At 40.9% G+C, this 15,381-nt stretch overlaps 1 protein-coding gene across 17 annotated transcripts in view, besides 1 other annotated feature; it reads right to left on the bottom strand.

Annotated features, from left to right (window-relative positions):
• Window positions 1-15,381, bottom strand: part of AUTS2 (activator of transcription and developmental regulator AUTS2) — a 1,195,032-nt gene that overhangs the window by 984,649 nt on the left and 195,002 nt on the right. The gene's annotated exons all lie outside the window — the stretch shown is intronic.
• Window positions 4,676-4,725: an enhancer, noted in NCBI's record as "active region_26101". NCBI's record gives its function as "activates an Ori minimal core promoter by ATAC-STARR-seq in GM12878 lymphoblastoid cells {active_cell/tissue: GM12878}" and the evidence as "EXISTENCE:reporter gene assay evidence [ECO:0000049][PMID:35858748]".

The raw sequence follows: 15,381 nt of genomic DNA, 5'->3' as shown, positions 1-15,381 counted from the left end.
GTATGCAGCTGTAGGAGCCAATGAGCCAAAGACCATCATCAGATGGTGCCTGGTTCACCCTGGATCTTGAGACAAGAACCTCAGAATCCCTTTTGGCTTGCCCTGCCCAGACATATACTTCATTCTTTCTAATCAGGAGCTACAGCTCCTGCTTGGGCTATATGCACTGAGAGCAGCTGGTCAGATACCACAGGCTACATTAGAGTGGGGCTCATCTGCCTGAATGAGCAACAGAAAAAAAGCTAAGGGCCCATCCAGATAAAATGCAGTCTGAGCAGAGTGTACTATATTACCTAGTATATGATTTAGTGCCTAAGCGCAAACCTGAAAAAAAATTTTTTTTTTACTTCCAAGTGACCTCATCCACAAACCTCAAATATTTAGAATGCTAAACATGTGAAAAACATCTGGCCTTTTAAATAAACTAGTATAGTGCCATGATAGCATTCATTTACTTCTAGATACCCAGTTGTCCTCTATTTTAAGTGTGTATAAAAATCATTTGAGAGAATCTTAAAAATGAAAATTACTATACCCAGAGAGTTTGATTTAGTAGGTGTGGAGTCAGGCCTACTATGGTGGTTAAAATACGTCCACAATTTAATGCTCCTCCCTTCAAAAGTGCGGCCTTGGCCGGAGTGCGGTGGCTCACACCTGTAATCCCCACTTTGGGAGGCAGAGGCGGGCAGATTACCTGAGGTCAGGAGTTCAAGATGAGTCTGAACAACATGGTAAAACCCCGTCTCTACTAAAAATACAAAAATTAGCCAGGCATGGTAGTGCAAGCCTGTAGTCCCAGCTACTCAGGATCCGGAGGCTGAGGTAGGAGAACTGCTTGAACCTGGGAGATCGTGCCACTGCACTCCAGCCTGGGCAACAGAGCAAGGCTCCATTTCAAAAAAAAAAAAAAAAAAAAAGCTTGGGCCTAATTCTCCTCCCCTTGAGTGCAGGCTGCCATTAATGACCTGCTTCTGACTAACAGAATGTGGCAGAAGTGACAGTGTCTGACTTGCAAGATTAGGTCATTTTTCTCTCTCTTGAATCAGTCACGCTGGTAAAACCAGCTGTCATGTTAAGAAGTCCATGTGGTGAGAAACCAAGGCCTCCTGCCAAAAGCCATATGAATGAGCCATCTTAGAAGCAGACTCTCCAGCTCCAGTCAAACATTCAGATGACAGTGGCCCCAGATAACATTTCGGCTGCAGGTCCAGGAAACTAAACATTAAAAGAGCAAGCTGGCCACACTTGCTACACAGGTTGAAAATTTCCAGCTAAAAAAAAATTTACACTAAGAATTTAAATGCAACAAGAACAGGTCTCTAAGGAAGAGCAATGACCTCTTTTCCCGGGACCAAATCTGATGAAGAGTCTGACAAGTACCTTTACTCCTGGAATCTCAAAAGAGAAGTCAAGCAAGAACTACCCAGATAAGTCACTCAGAAATTCCTGACCCACATAAACTAAGATAGTAAAAGTTTGCTGTTTTAAGATGGTAAGTTTTGTGGTAATTTTGTACCCCATACATAACTAATACACCTAAAAAATCAGAATTTTACCCCATATGTAACTAATACACTCAACAAATCTGGATCTTGGTGACATGTAGTAAAAAATAAATACCCACAGTGACACAATCCAATGTTTCCAATTTGGCATGATATTCTTTGTTTAAAGGAGGAAAAACGACTGGAAACAAAATTAGATTGTGCTCATCTTATTCAAACTCATTAGGCTTAAGATTCATTTCATTTCCATGATACTGTTGTGCAACCACAACCCCATTTAAGTTTTAGGGAGGCAACATGAGGTCCAGGAAACTAAACATTACAAGAGCAAGCTGGCCACACTTGCTACACGTTTAAAATTTCCAGCTAAAAAAAAATTTACACTCAGATTTTAAATGCAGAAAGAACAGGTCTCTAAGGAAGAGCAACAACCTCTTTTCCCGCGACCAAATCTGATGAAGAGTCCAACAAGTACCTTTACTCCTGGAAAAAGCTCATCCATGACAATTCTTTAACTTGGAATCACAAGAAAGAAGACGACTATGGAAGAGAAACAGTAGAGTGTGATGGCTAAAGGCAAGGCTCTGGAATGAAAATGCTAGGGATTAAATCCCATTTGCTAGCTGTGTGGCCTTGGCCAGATTGCTTACTTTCTCTCTCTGCCTCAATTTCATGAACTAGCAAATGAGGGTAACAGAGTCTAGCTCATCAAAAAAATTAGCCAGGCGTGGTAGTGCACACCTGCAGTCCCAGCTACTTGGGAGGCTGAGATGTGGGTAAATTACCTAAACCTGGGAAATCGAGGCTACAGTAAGCCGTGATGGCACCGCTGCACTCCAGCCTGGACAGTGGAGTGAGCCTCTGTCTCAAAAAAGCCACCAAAAACAAATACACAAACAGAGTGTAGCTCATCAGACTCTGTAAGAAGTAGACAGTTCAACAAGTATAACGCCCTTAGAATAATGCCTCATACATCAAAGCACTCAACACAAATAAGCTATTATCATATTTCATTTCTACATTATCTCCTACTAAACCTTTACCTAGACACACTAAGTAAAAAAAATTGAGTTTTGTCTTCATATCTTCCTCTTGTCTTTCTTCTGTGGTTGTGACGCTGGTTTAAAAAAAAAAAAAAAAAAAAAAAAAAAAAAAGCCTTGGCTGGGCATGGTGGCTCCCATCTGTAATCCCACTTTGGGAGGTGGAGGTAGGAAGACCGCTTGAGACCAGCCTGGGCAACATAGCAAGACCAAGACCGTGTGTGTCTCTATCAAAAGTTACAAAATTAGCCAGGTGTGGTGTCACGTGCCTATAGTCCCAGCTACTCAGGAGGCTGAGGTGGGGGAATCGTGTGAGCCTAGGAGTTTGAGGATGTAGTTGAGCTATGAACGCGCCACTGCACTCCAGCCTGGGCAACAGAGTAAGACCCTGTCTCAAAAAACAAAAAACAAAAATTAAACTAAACAATTAAAAATAAAAAGGGACCTTGGTGTGAGATTCAGTCAGGAGAAAGAAAACTTTCTGTCACTGCTGCCTAAATACTATCATCCAATATTAACTTATTGCTCACTGGGGACATCACAATATACATCTTCATAGAGAAATAAAGGTTGGTTCTGCTTCCTACACTTGACTCAGGAAGAAAGCCTTCCTTGATACTGCATAATTTTTAGAACTCCCAGCCTCAGAAGAACTGATCTGCGTTGCTTGGTTCCTTCTGTACACAGATTTGCAAAAATATTCCATAAGAATTTGCATTTTCCCTGTCTTTTTCCTATTCTTTTTTCCTTCATATTTTCTTGTCTGCACAATTTGGTTCTTTTTTATAGTCACATTCTATTCCTGTACCATCCTACCCAGATCATTTACTTTATTCAGGATATGAAGCCTCTTTCATTCTTCATTGGAATTTTTTTCTTCTGAGCAACAAATGTAAAAAAAAGTCTGCCTCTGCGTATTATTTGTCTCCTCTTTCTGACTATCCTCCCCCATGGCAGTTTGTCTAACGTAAAAACATTTCTCACAAGGAAATTTCTGGGCAGGGGGCAGAGGTAAAGGGTGACTTCAAAAATGCCAACATTGAGCAAAGCACTTGCCACAAATGTAATGTTGGTGTATTTTAAAAGCCTTGCCATGTAACCTCACAGTATCTTTGCAGATTTATCTCCTGTTATCAAGGCTGCTACTTAAGTCAACAAGGCATTGGGCTGAGACTATAAACACTGCCACAGTGGATCATATTCACAGTCCATCCTCACATCAGCACTCTGCATCTGACAATCAACTGCACCAAATAAGAGTTTAAAGGAAGATATAACTGTCCTCTCTCATATAAAAGTTAAAATATCAACTGTTACAAGCTCAAGAGACTAAAAGGAAAGCAACGTCTGTCTGTGTAGTGATTCTTAAAGTTGGGTATAATCACAGGAGGGCTTGTTAAGACACAGATTGCTGGCTTCCTCCTCAAAGGTTTCTGATTCAGGAAGTCATGGTAGAGCCTTGGAAATCTGCATTGCAAACAAGTTCCCAGATGATGATGATATTGCTGCTTCGAAGACCACACTTTGATAACCACTATTCTGGTAAAGAAGTAAAATCCAGAGATGCTACAAATCGAGACAAGAAATGTGATAACAAAACTCAGCACGATTCTCGACAACAACTCAGGTCTGTCACCATCCATGTAACTGTGGGGTTCATGATCCTACATTTTGGCTGTCAACAGGAATAAAACTAATAGATCAGGAGAATGATAAAGCAAAGTCTGGGCTAGTAAGTATATTTAAGTCTTCATTGGAGGCACTATAGGATTAACTATCATGGCAGCTCTTTACTGACTCTTAGAAAGTAGAGACGAAGGTGACACTTCAAATCCACCCTAAACTCAGCATTTCAGAGTTGAGTCAGGAACCAAGTGAGGTAAACCTCTGACATGCTATAGGAGCCACTAATGAACTTAAATTCAACATCAAAGGTATGAGAAGTTTCACACAGTGAGGACTGAAAGCTCTGTGTGCCCACTGGGGGATACCTGCAACACTACTGTGCTTTGTGAAAATGCCATTTGAGTAAACTACAGATGTGTACGTGACCATATATGTGTGTTATGGTTTCACACCCACTCCCCCAGCAACACTCCCATCTCTTCCCTCCTGTCTTCCTCCTATCTGTCACTGCTGCTCAAATACTATCAGCCAATATTAACTTATTGCTCACCAGGGACATCACAATCTACATTTTCTTAGGGAAATAAAGGTTGATTCTGGAAATACACGTTGTTTAGTATGGTGTCAATGGAAAATGAAAAAAAATTTTCTTTGAGACAAGAGTCTCACTCTGTCACCCAGGCTAGAGTGCTGTGGTGCAAACAATGATCACTGCAGCCGCAACCACACAGGCTCAAATGATCCTCCCACCTCAGCCTCCTGAGTAGCTGGAACCACAGGTGCCTGGAACCACGCCTGGCTAATTTGTTTGTTTATTTTGTAGAGACAGTGTCTTGTCATGTTGCCCAGGCTGGTCTGAAACTCATAGAATCAAGCAATCCTCCTGCCTTGGCCTCCCAAAGTGCTGGGATTACAGGCAAAAGCCACCATGCCTGGCCTAGAAAATGAAATTTAAAGAGTTCTGAAAAATGTTAAGTCCCAAAGAGAAAAGCATGTGCCACTGTTAGAGGCCTCCCCGGGAACAGGTGGGAACAGTTGAGTTTAATTAGCTTATAGCTGGTACTGACTGTATGGGAAGGCAGGGATTTGTTTTTTGACTCCAAGTCTTCAGGTTATATTTTCTGTAACTGTTAACAACTACAAGGACTTTTTTTTTTTCCAAAGATGGTAACATTTGTATGCAAGGACTTTTATTTGGTGTTTACAGGAAACAGAGGAGAGAAACCAAGATGGTAAGGATTTCCAGCAAAGCAATCCAACATCATTATAGAGAAGCAAACCCAGTGAGTTTTGTTATATTAGTGGGCATCGGTGGCTTCTAGATGGCCCCCACTGGCACATGCACAGTCCCCAGAAAGTGACCACATGTGACAAGTGACAGCATTTATTCAAGAGTTCTCTCCAATTGGTGCACTTCAGAGCTGATCATCAAAGAGAAAGGAGTGCACGGTACATCAGCAGTCTGAACTACAGTATTCCAAGTAAAGCAATTCCTTCAGGAAGACTATGAAATGCAGGTATTTATAATTCTGCTGAGACCCCAAACTGATTATTGCCCATTGTGGGAGGAGCTAAAAACCACCCAGTCCAGTAACAACAGCTGAACTTGGGTTTGTCATTCTCTTTTATTAAGCATACACAAACTGTCATGTGGACAACGACATTTTTGAGGAAATGACCTCCAAATGAGGGGGAAAGTGTCAATGAAATTTGAAACAGCAATTAACTTATGGTGTTTCTGCCATGAACAGTCAACACACAATTCTCTGAAGAACTGTCAATATAAACAGAACCAGTATTCTGTACAAAGATCTTCGCAATGGAAGATTTAAGAATTCACAAAGAATTCATCCCTTACTAATATACTGTTCCCTTGGGCTCTCCAGCAGCATACTAAGGCCAAGTCCTAAGGAGCATTAAACCCAAAGCATAGATGGGTAATCCAGAAAAACAAAACACTGAAAAGCAAGATGTTGGTTTACTTACCCCAAAAAGTCAGGTGCTTTGACCAACAGCAATCAATGATGGTTATAGCACAGGCACTATGAGCCAGTACTCTAAGGTTCAGAAAGAACCTAAAGTTCCTCTCCAGTTGCAGAGACAAGACTGCTGCACAAATAAGCAATTACAGAAGATAACATTTCATTACCTAATGAAATGAGTTCACAGTTAGTGTTACAGGACAACAGATAAGGAAGCCATCAAGGAGACAGAAGTAGACAGAAAAGCCCTTCCGTTATCAATCAGAGTAAGTTATCAGGTCCCCATGCAGGGGACACTGTGATAAGACTGCATAAACTACTTAAGTGAGAAATACACTGTGCCCTGAAGGAAAAACAAGATCTGAGAGAGGTGGTTCCACCACAAACTAGAGCTTAGAAAATAACAAAACACAAATTCTGACCCATGAAAAGGAAAAGACAGGCTTTTTCCTTAGGGCCTTTTCCATAAAACTAAGTTGGCAAGAAGAAACATACGCTCTCCCCTTAACATACGTCTTCAGGCTAAGATTTAGTCAGGGAAACTATCCAAAGACAGGAAACATTTGCAGATTCTGATCAAACAGGCCACTGAAAGCCCAACCTGCTGGTCTGGCCAACGTAATAAACATGAGGGATGAGGAGCACATTCCAAAGAGCTATGCACACTGTCCTACCTCACTTCTCCCAAATACCCACCTGGCTTACTTCCTCACCCCCTTTTAGGTAATTACTCAAGAGTTGCCTTCTCAGTGACTCCTTTCCTGGCCACTGAATCTAAAATTGCATGCCCCACCACCACAACAGCACACATCACATCATTTCCTGGCCCCCTTTCCTCCTTCCTAGCACTTACCAGTTTCTAATACTCTAGATATTAGACGTTTCTTTATTGACATTCCCTTCCACTAAAATGCATGTTCCATTGAGTCAGAGAGATTGTTGTCTGTTTTGTTCACTGTTGTGTCTTGAGCACCTAGAAAAGTGCCTGACATATATCAAACAATCAACAAAACTGTTGAATGAATGAATAAATGAACAAATGCATGTTTGTACTGACACCTGTGGGAAGTTTTGTTTTAAGATAGTACATAATGTAGTAAACACTTCAATGGAGAGTAATGTCTTTTATTATACATACACAAACATATTTATGTATATATACACCACATATATATACCTATATATCTTATATTTATATTCATTTATATACCATATATAGGTATAAATATTTTATATATAGGTATATCTTATTTATATACATACATATATATGTATATATGGTATATCAATAAGACCATCAAGGTAGAGCTTTATTTGCAGAAAGGTTTGCCCAGTTTTAGGTCCATCAGCAGGCACATAAAATGTTTTTAATCGTATCAACTTCCATCTCCTTTCTGTTTATTTTTAATCATTCTTTCTCATAGAACCTAGCAGCTAAATCTAGCCATGTTAATTACCAATGCTGAAATTGGCAACTAGATCCCTGCCAGTCACCCCATTAATTAACATATTGTTTTATTATGCTTTTATTCAGTCAAAAAATGTTTATTGATAACCTGCTATGTCCCATACCTTATGCCTAGCAATGAGGAAATGGTGAGCAAGAATCCTTATCCTAGCAGAACAGACAGTCCAGGGGGATAACAGTAAGTATGAACGAAAAACTGTAGTAAGTTATTCTAGGGGAAATGAGGGGACCATAGAAGCATACAGCAGGAATACCTATTCTAGTTTAGGAAAGGTGAAAGAAGTGTTATTTATGTAGAATTATCTAAAAGATATATAAGAATTAGCCAGGTAAAAAGGTGAGGGGGTAAGAAGTACTCCAGATAGAAGGAATGTAAATAAATGGGAGGGCTTGGAAAGAAAAACACAGCCCTCTTCAGGAACAGTGCAGGGAGGGGCTGGGGAAAAAGGCAAGATCTATTTGACCCTGGAGAGGTGGGCAGGGACCTAGTCACATGTGGCCTTCTGACTCATAGTACTTGTCAAGAGCTTCTATGCCTCCAAGGCTAGCTGCTATCAAGGGAGCAGAGATAAATCAAACTCTGCCAGAATTCTTGACCTTTGGCATACTCACTGCCAGACACTTTCTGAAAGCCAATAAACTATGGCTAGTGGAAAGTGAGCATTTCTTAAAAATATCAAACTGGAGTAAGTACTGTGGGCAGAGGTAACTTCACAATGTCACCCCAATAGTGTGCCAGATGTTAGGGGGGCTTATCATACCAAAGGCAGGAAAAGACACCAAAAAGAAGGACTGCTTTGGACTTCTACAACAGGGATGTATCTGTTGATCCCAGAAATAATCATAGGTATTACCCATTTCTACCAGCTCAACCGCTTCCCCTGCTTTCCCTGCTGTCCTAATTTCTAGTCATTCTGCCTTGATTTTTTTGTTTAACCTTAATTATCACATGTTCTCAACTAGCCTGCACTCTTGCTACATGGAGATTTGAGTAGGGGCTTTCCTAAAGCTGATCCTGGAACAGATAACCCTGATACCCACAAGGCAGCTGGGAATACATTGACCTGGAGTGAATAGTCAGAAACAAATTTCCTGTTACATATTTATCTGACTTACACTGGTTTGATTCGAATGTTTCAGAGAGTATATGCTTAATAACCAAGATACTGATCTATCCTTACATACATAAGGTTACTGACACATGAGTTATTACAAATAATAACCCTTAAATCTATTTTGGTAAATGCTGATTATCAGCTAGTTCTTCATTATCTTTAGATTTTAAGAATGAAAAATAATGTCATTTATAGGGAATTTTTTAGATAGTAGGAACTGCCCAGGTAAAAAGGTGAGGGGGTTGGGCATACTCCAGACAAAAGGAACACACACAAATGGGAAAAGCTCAGAAATAAAAACACAGCCCCTCAAGGAACAGCACCAGGAGGGGGCGGGGAGAGCTTAGATTTCTAATGAGGAAAAAAAGACTGAGGCACAATAGCAAATATTTGGATTTACAAATCAAAAAACCACATAGAGAATGCCAAGGAGTTTTAAGAAATTCCATGTATGATTATGCAGGTTATAGTCCCTCATATGTAACTCAAATGAAAACTGCCCATCTGATTTTCCAGAGTGCTAACTGTATCACTGTAGATTTAACAGTAACAGCTGAGCAATTTCTGAGATGTCAGTGTAAGAAGTCCCATGCTCATGAACCCATGAATGACACTTCCCTGCCTGTCTAAAATACCGGTTCCCCAAACTCGCTGGACCTCAGAGGCACCTGGAGACTTGCCTCTGGTTTAAAATGGAGACTTTGCTGGGCATTGTGACTGTGGTCCCAGATACTCAGAAGGTAGAGGTGGGAGGACTCTGAGCTGAGGAGTTCAAAACCAGCCTGGGCAACAGACCCCATGTCTATTGGTAAAAACATAAAAATGAAGACAACGTAGACTCCCAGGTTCCACCAGGAGGCATTCTCATTCAGTGAATCTGGGTTGAGATACCAAAATTCGTATTTTTAATAAGTGCCACAGGAGATTCTAAAGCTGGTGGTACAGACTTAACTCCACCACTTTCTGGATCAGTGGTCCTCAAAACAAGTTCACCCTGGATCCAGGGAAGGCATAAACTGATCCACTGTGATTGAGGAAAAAAAAAATACCATACTTACATATAATTTTTTTCTCTCTAGCCTTATTGAGGGGTGTGTATGTGTGTACTTATATACACACTTTTTTTTTTTTAGACTAGGTTTCGCTCTGTTGCCCAGGCTGGAATGCAGTGGTGCCATTAAAGCTCACTGCAGCCTCGAACTCCTGAGCTCAAGCAGTCCAACCACCTCAGCCTCCCAAGTAGCTGGGACTACAGGCGTGCACCATCACACCCAGCTAAAATTTTAATTTTTTGTAGAGATAGGATCCCACTATGTTGTCCAGGCTGATCTCAAACTTCTGGCCACAAGCAGTCCTCCCACCTTGGCCTTCCAAAGTGCAAGGATTACAGGAGTGAGTCACCACACCCAGCTATTTTTAATTGTTCGGGCAACTTCCGTACTAATTTCCGTAATACCAATAATAATTTATATCCCCACTAATGGTGCACAAGACTTCCCTTTTCTCCACATTTTTAACTTACATATATTTTATAACTTCATTTATGAGTACAGTATGTAAACATATGGACAATGCATAATCAAATTCTCTTTCTAGAAAAGATACATAACAAAAAAAAATTAGGGGCCACAGTTAGGAGTACTTTTGCCTAGAAATAAAACTGAATACTCCAGCATCCCAGGGGAAAGGAAAGGCATATGGAACTGAAAGAATAATACCCTGAAGAGGGGGTAATGCAACGTTTACCGAACGCACTGAAGGGAAAGGCAAATCGCAAGGAGAGCCCCAGTCATGTCCCAACCTTAGAGAAAATCACTTGGGGTATCATCTTTCTCATGTGTAAAATGAGTAAAGGGGTGATCCACATGTTCTCTTACGTTCCTCCCAGCACAAACACACTACAGTTTATAAAGCACTGATGAAGAGGAACCATGAGTGAGGTAATGAAGGGTGGTACATGCTATTCCTCACAAGCTCGAAATAGATCAACAAAGTCTGGAAAATGCCTGTCACGCAGACAGAAGCCCATCACTAGAATCATAAAACATTAACGCTTTGATAGCTTCAGGACCCCCACATTTCATGGATTAAAAAAAAAAGCTCACAGTGGAGACTTGTTCTGACCAAGAAGTCCCAGGTGCCCAGTAGCATAGCCAAGTTACCTGATCCCCAGAGTGTGATGCTCTCACTATACAAGTCTCCTTCCTTTCGAAAGTAAAGAGACTTTCTAAGATGCCAGAGGCCCAGCATTCTGAAGATAAAAAATAAGGTCCATTCATTGTTCTCAAATATGATTTATGTTTGTAACCTTTACAAGAAGGAAAAAAAATGTTTTGGGATTTGTTTTACCTCCCTGTTTCTTTTTTTAAAATCTGAGAAACTGGTGAAGACATAACCTTATAGTGTTAGAAAAGAAAATTTAAGAGCATCTTAAATAAGGAAGCCCATTGTGGCTCTCAGTGAGGCTGCCAAGAGCCCACATGAGAGCAGAGGTCTTCTGGAACACCACAAATTCCCAGTGGCCTCCAAGCGCAGGCTCTTCCTTTCTATTCACAAGACCCAGAGACAGGCAAGGTCAATTTCCCTTCTCATTTTCCTGCATATCTAAAACTCTCTTTAATGTGAATTTAAAAGGACAAAAATGGAGTTAAGAGCTTCACGTACCTGTGAAGGGGAACCACTGCCTTCCTTGCAGCCCCAGAAATACTGAGTGGGCACTGGAAAAGCACAGCAGCCCAAGATCAGATTCGGGATCTGCACATAATCCTGGACTGAGAGCAGCTCCTCAAGTCTATTGAATCTTAACTCTATGGCTTGGGGAGCTGAAAACGGAACATGTCCCCCCAGGTAATACTCAAGCACAAAGCAGTTTGAGAATCACTGATTTCCAGACAAGAAGGCAGGGGTATCTGGGCTCTGCGTAATACTACCCACCTGCAAAAGTCCCCAGGTCTCCAAATATCTTCCCCAAGAGGTTACATTCTGGAGGTGCAGGTAGAGACCAATGTCCCAAAAGTTGAAGTTTAGCCACTCTTCATTTAAAGTGGAAAAAAAGGAGTAAAATAAATTACTACCCACTATACTAGGCCCTTTACACTTACGATTCCATTGCATCCTCACGACGAAAATCTTCCACATTCAGATGGAGCCTAGTTAATTCAAAACTCCTGGTGCAAACTGAACCCAAGCTAGACCACTTTAATCTCAAACAACACTCTGATAATCAGGGCAAATAGCACAAATCAGATTACAAAGAAATAATCACAATTTTTAAAATTCCAATATATTTAACATTAATAATTGATATTCTTAATTATACATGAAGGTCAATTAAAAAAACAGTTCTGCTAGGCAATGTTTCATAATCCTCACTCAAGTTACCACTCTATAACAAAAAAATAACAGAACTGCATTTCTTTTCAGCTACCCTGCAAATCTGTCTGTACATATTCCCACAATTGTTCAATTTGGAGAGGTATGACCATAAATGTTTTCCTTCTTCCAGACCACACCACAAAAATGTCCAATTCTGGGAAAGACTGCATGGCAGGACTCATGCAGTCTCTTCCCTATTTTCTTTTCTTTTTTTTTTTTTTTGGAAACAGAGTCTCACTCTGTCGCCTAGGCTGGAGTGAAGTGGCACAATCATGGCTCACTGCAGCCTCGAACTCCTGAGCTCAAATGAGCCTCCCACCTCAGCCTTCCAAGTAGCTGGGACTACAGGTGGGTACCACCATGCACAACTAGCTTTTGTTTGTTTGTTTGGTAGAGAACGAAGTCTCACTGTATTGCTCAGGCTGGTCTCAAACTTCTGGCCTCAAGTGATTCTCCCACTTCGGCCTCCCAAAGTGTTGGGATTACAGGAGTGAGTTACCACACCCAGCCTCTTCCCTATTTTCAACTTCTACTCCACTCCATCCGTCTTCAATTAGGTTACATCTTTTCACCCCACTGTCTATGGATTGCTGAAGATGCGAAAAGGAACTGAAAACTTCAGGTGTCATTTCCTGGAATGTGAAAAACATCCAGAGGCTAGAGGCTATCGTCAGCCCACCACAGAAACCTTGAATGTTAATGCCTGACAGACCCTCTCAAAGCAGTGTTTGAAAATTTATAGCTCCAAAAACTTATTTTTTAATCGAGGTAACTATGTGCATGAACCCAAGCTCCACAAAGTAATTACATGGAAAGAGAACAGGCAGGCATGCCTAAAGAACTAATTGGGTCCTGGTTTATAACGAGCCACGTAAAAGCAGAGACCAGAAAAAGCTGAGCTCCTTGTTCTGGCGCTAGCTCTTCTGCCTCCTGTACCCAGCAATGGTACATACATAACAAGCTCTCCTCTCATCAAGGATGAAGATGGAGAAGACTAATATGCAAATATTTCTGATTACTAATTAATTTCCTATTTCCCCTTCTTAAGCCAAGAGGAATCTATCTATAGAACAAACCTTTCGCATCCAACTGCTCATCTTCATGTCTGCTGCCACTGCTCTCATTCATTTCCTTGCCTTATTGTGCCTTGGACTATTAAGATGGCCTCCTAACTGCTCTAATTCTGCTAATCATTTATTTTTCATGAAGTTGCAAGAGTAATTTTTTGGCAGAAACAGGGGTCTCACTACATTGCCCAGGCTGGTCTCAAACTCCTGGCCTCAAGTGATCCTCCTGCCTCGATGTCCCAAAGTGTTTGGATTATAGGTATGAGCCACTCCGCCTGGCTACAAGAGTTAACTTTCTGATTCACAACTCTTACCAAGACCAAAACCTGAAGGACTTCTCACTGTGTATACATCCTAAAACATGGAATCAAGGCTCTCTATGATCCAGCCCAACCTCCCTTTCAAATCTTTTTTGTTCCTATAAATTCTAAGGTCACAAAACTAGAAGGCAGTATTGAACCAAATTCATCTGTTGATACATTTTCCTTGCAATGATTAATAATAGTAACCATAATAACAGTAGTAGCAGCAAACTTAGAGCTTCCTATGTCCAGGCATTTTCTAAGCACTTTACATGCATTACCCCCTTAGTTATCACAACCCCATGAGATTGTTACTATCTTCAATTTAAAGATGAAGGAAAATGAGATTTAAAAAGTAGAAGAGCCACTATTGGAACTCAAGAAGATCGGCTCCAGTGTCTATATTCTTAACTACTATATGGTACTACATTCCTTTTGAGAAGGAATGAGTGGAAAGATGGCTGGGTACATGTATGACACTATTTTGTGAGCTATTTTAAGGTTCGTGTTTGTGAATGTATAGTCCTACCTCCTACTAATGGAGGAAAATGAGCTCTCTCCTGATCTCTGTGGGTTCTTCTACTTGTAATAACAGGTAACCTTGATAACACTGACCGTCCCCTCAGTTGCACAGGTGCACCTACCCAAAGCATAAAGAGAGAGCCCTGCGTAATTGAGTGGCTTTACCTTTATTGGTACTGTCAAAATAGTGACATTAAAAAAATACAGGTACCAAGTAGACAAATGAATAGTGCCTAATAAAGAGGAGAGGCTTCAAGGAAGAAAGAATAAATGAAGTATATGAAGCATGCATACTTATAGCACCTGCAAATTAACTTCCTAGAAACAGCAATAAGCAGATAAAGTACAGTCCTTAGTGGAATCAGGCACAAAACGAATGCAGCTGCAAGAACACAGAAACATATACACTTTTACTTGCAAACATCTGCCCCCAGTATTCCCAGCAATTCTCCCATATCATTCCCACAGGGGCCCAGCAAAAAGATAAGAAATCGTGCCATATTCTTGCCTAACACCAATACCTTCCTACCATTCTGACCCTAAATTACCTTTAGGGTGCTCTGATGAAAGAAAAGTGCTATAGGACAGATGCCAAAAGAGAAGTCTTAAGTACTGCACAGCTTGAGACAGCAGGTCTATGGCAAAGAGCCTTGCAAAGGGAACCAAGCATGCCTGCTGGCTTACTAGTACTTTGGGCAAGCAAGAAGTTCTCCGAACCTCAATTCTCCATCCTAATATGAGGTGAAAAGGGGTTCCAAAGGCAGTGCAAAATCATGTCTCCCAATTCCTTGATGCAGTATTTTAATCCAATCCTACCTAATCAGCATAATTTTCCCTCCACGCTCATGCCAGGAGCCCCATGCTCCAATCACCCCCGCTTTGAGTGGCATTCTCCAACTTAAGCCATCACTCTGCTGCCTCTGCAGCTTTGCTTATGTTATTCTCTCAAGCTTGGAATACCTTTCCTTCTCTGACTATCCCCCATCTGAATGACAGCCTATTTATCCTTCTTTGTCAGTGGCTCTCAGTCTTGGCTGCACATTAAAATCATGTAGGAAGCTTTAAAAATGTTTAAACATTTAAAAAATTTAATGTTTTTAAATGTTTAAACATTTAAAAAATGCTGTCTCTGTCCAAATTCCAGAAGTTCTGATCTGATTGTTATAGGGTTTGGTCTAAATATTGGGGTTTTTCAAAATTCTCTCAGGTGATTGTAAAGCACAGCCAAGGTGAGAGCCTCTGCCCTACACCCTGCCCAAAGCCACTTCCCCTAAGAAGCCTTTTGCCTAACCTAAACTAACTGTTCCCACCCAGACATTCCTATAGCACTTTAATTTCACTTGTTCAAAGACACGATCATGTCACAGGTTACACTAAG

This window comes from Homo sapiens, chromosome 7 (genome assembly GCF_000001405.40).
Source record: "Homo sapiens chromosome 7, GRCh38.p14 Primary Assembly".
Classification (NCBI taxonomy): Eukaryota; Metazoa; Chordata; class Mammalia; order Primates; family Hominidae; genus Homo; species Homo sapiens.
The sequence above is the reverse complement of the archived record's forward strand: the minus strand, read 5'-3'. Positions and strand labels throughout refer to the sequence as shown.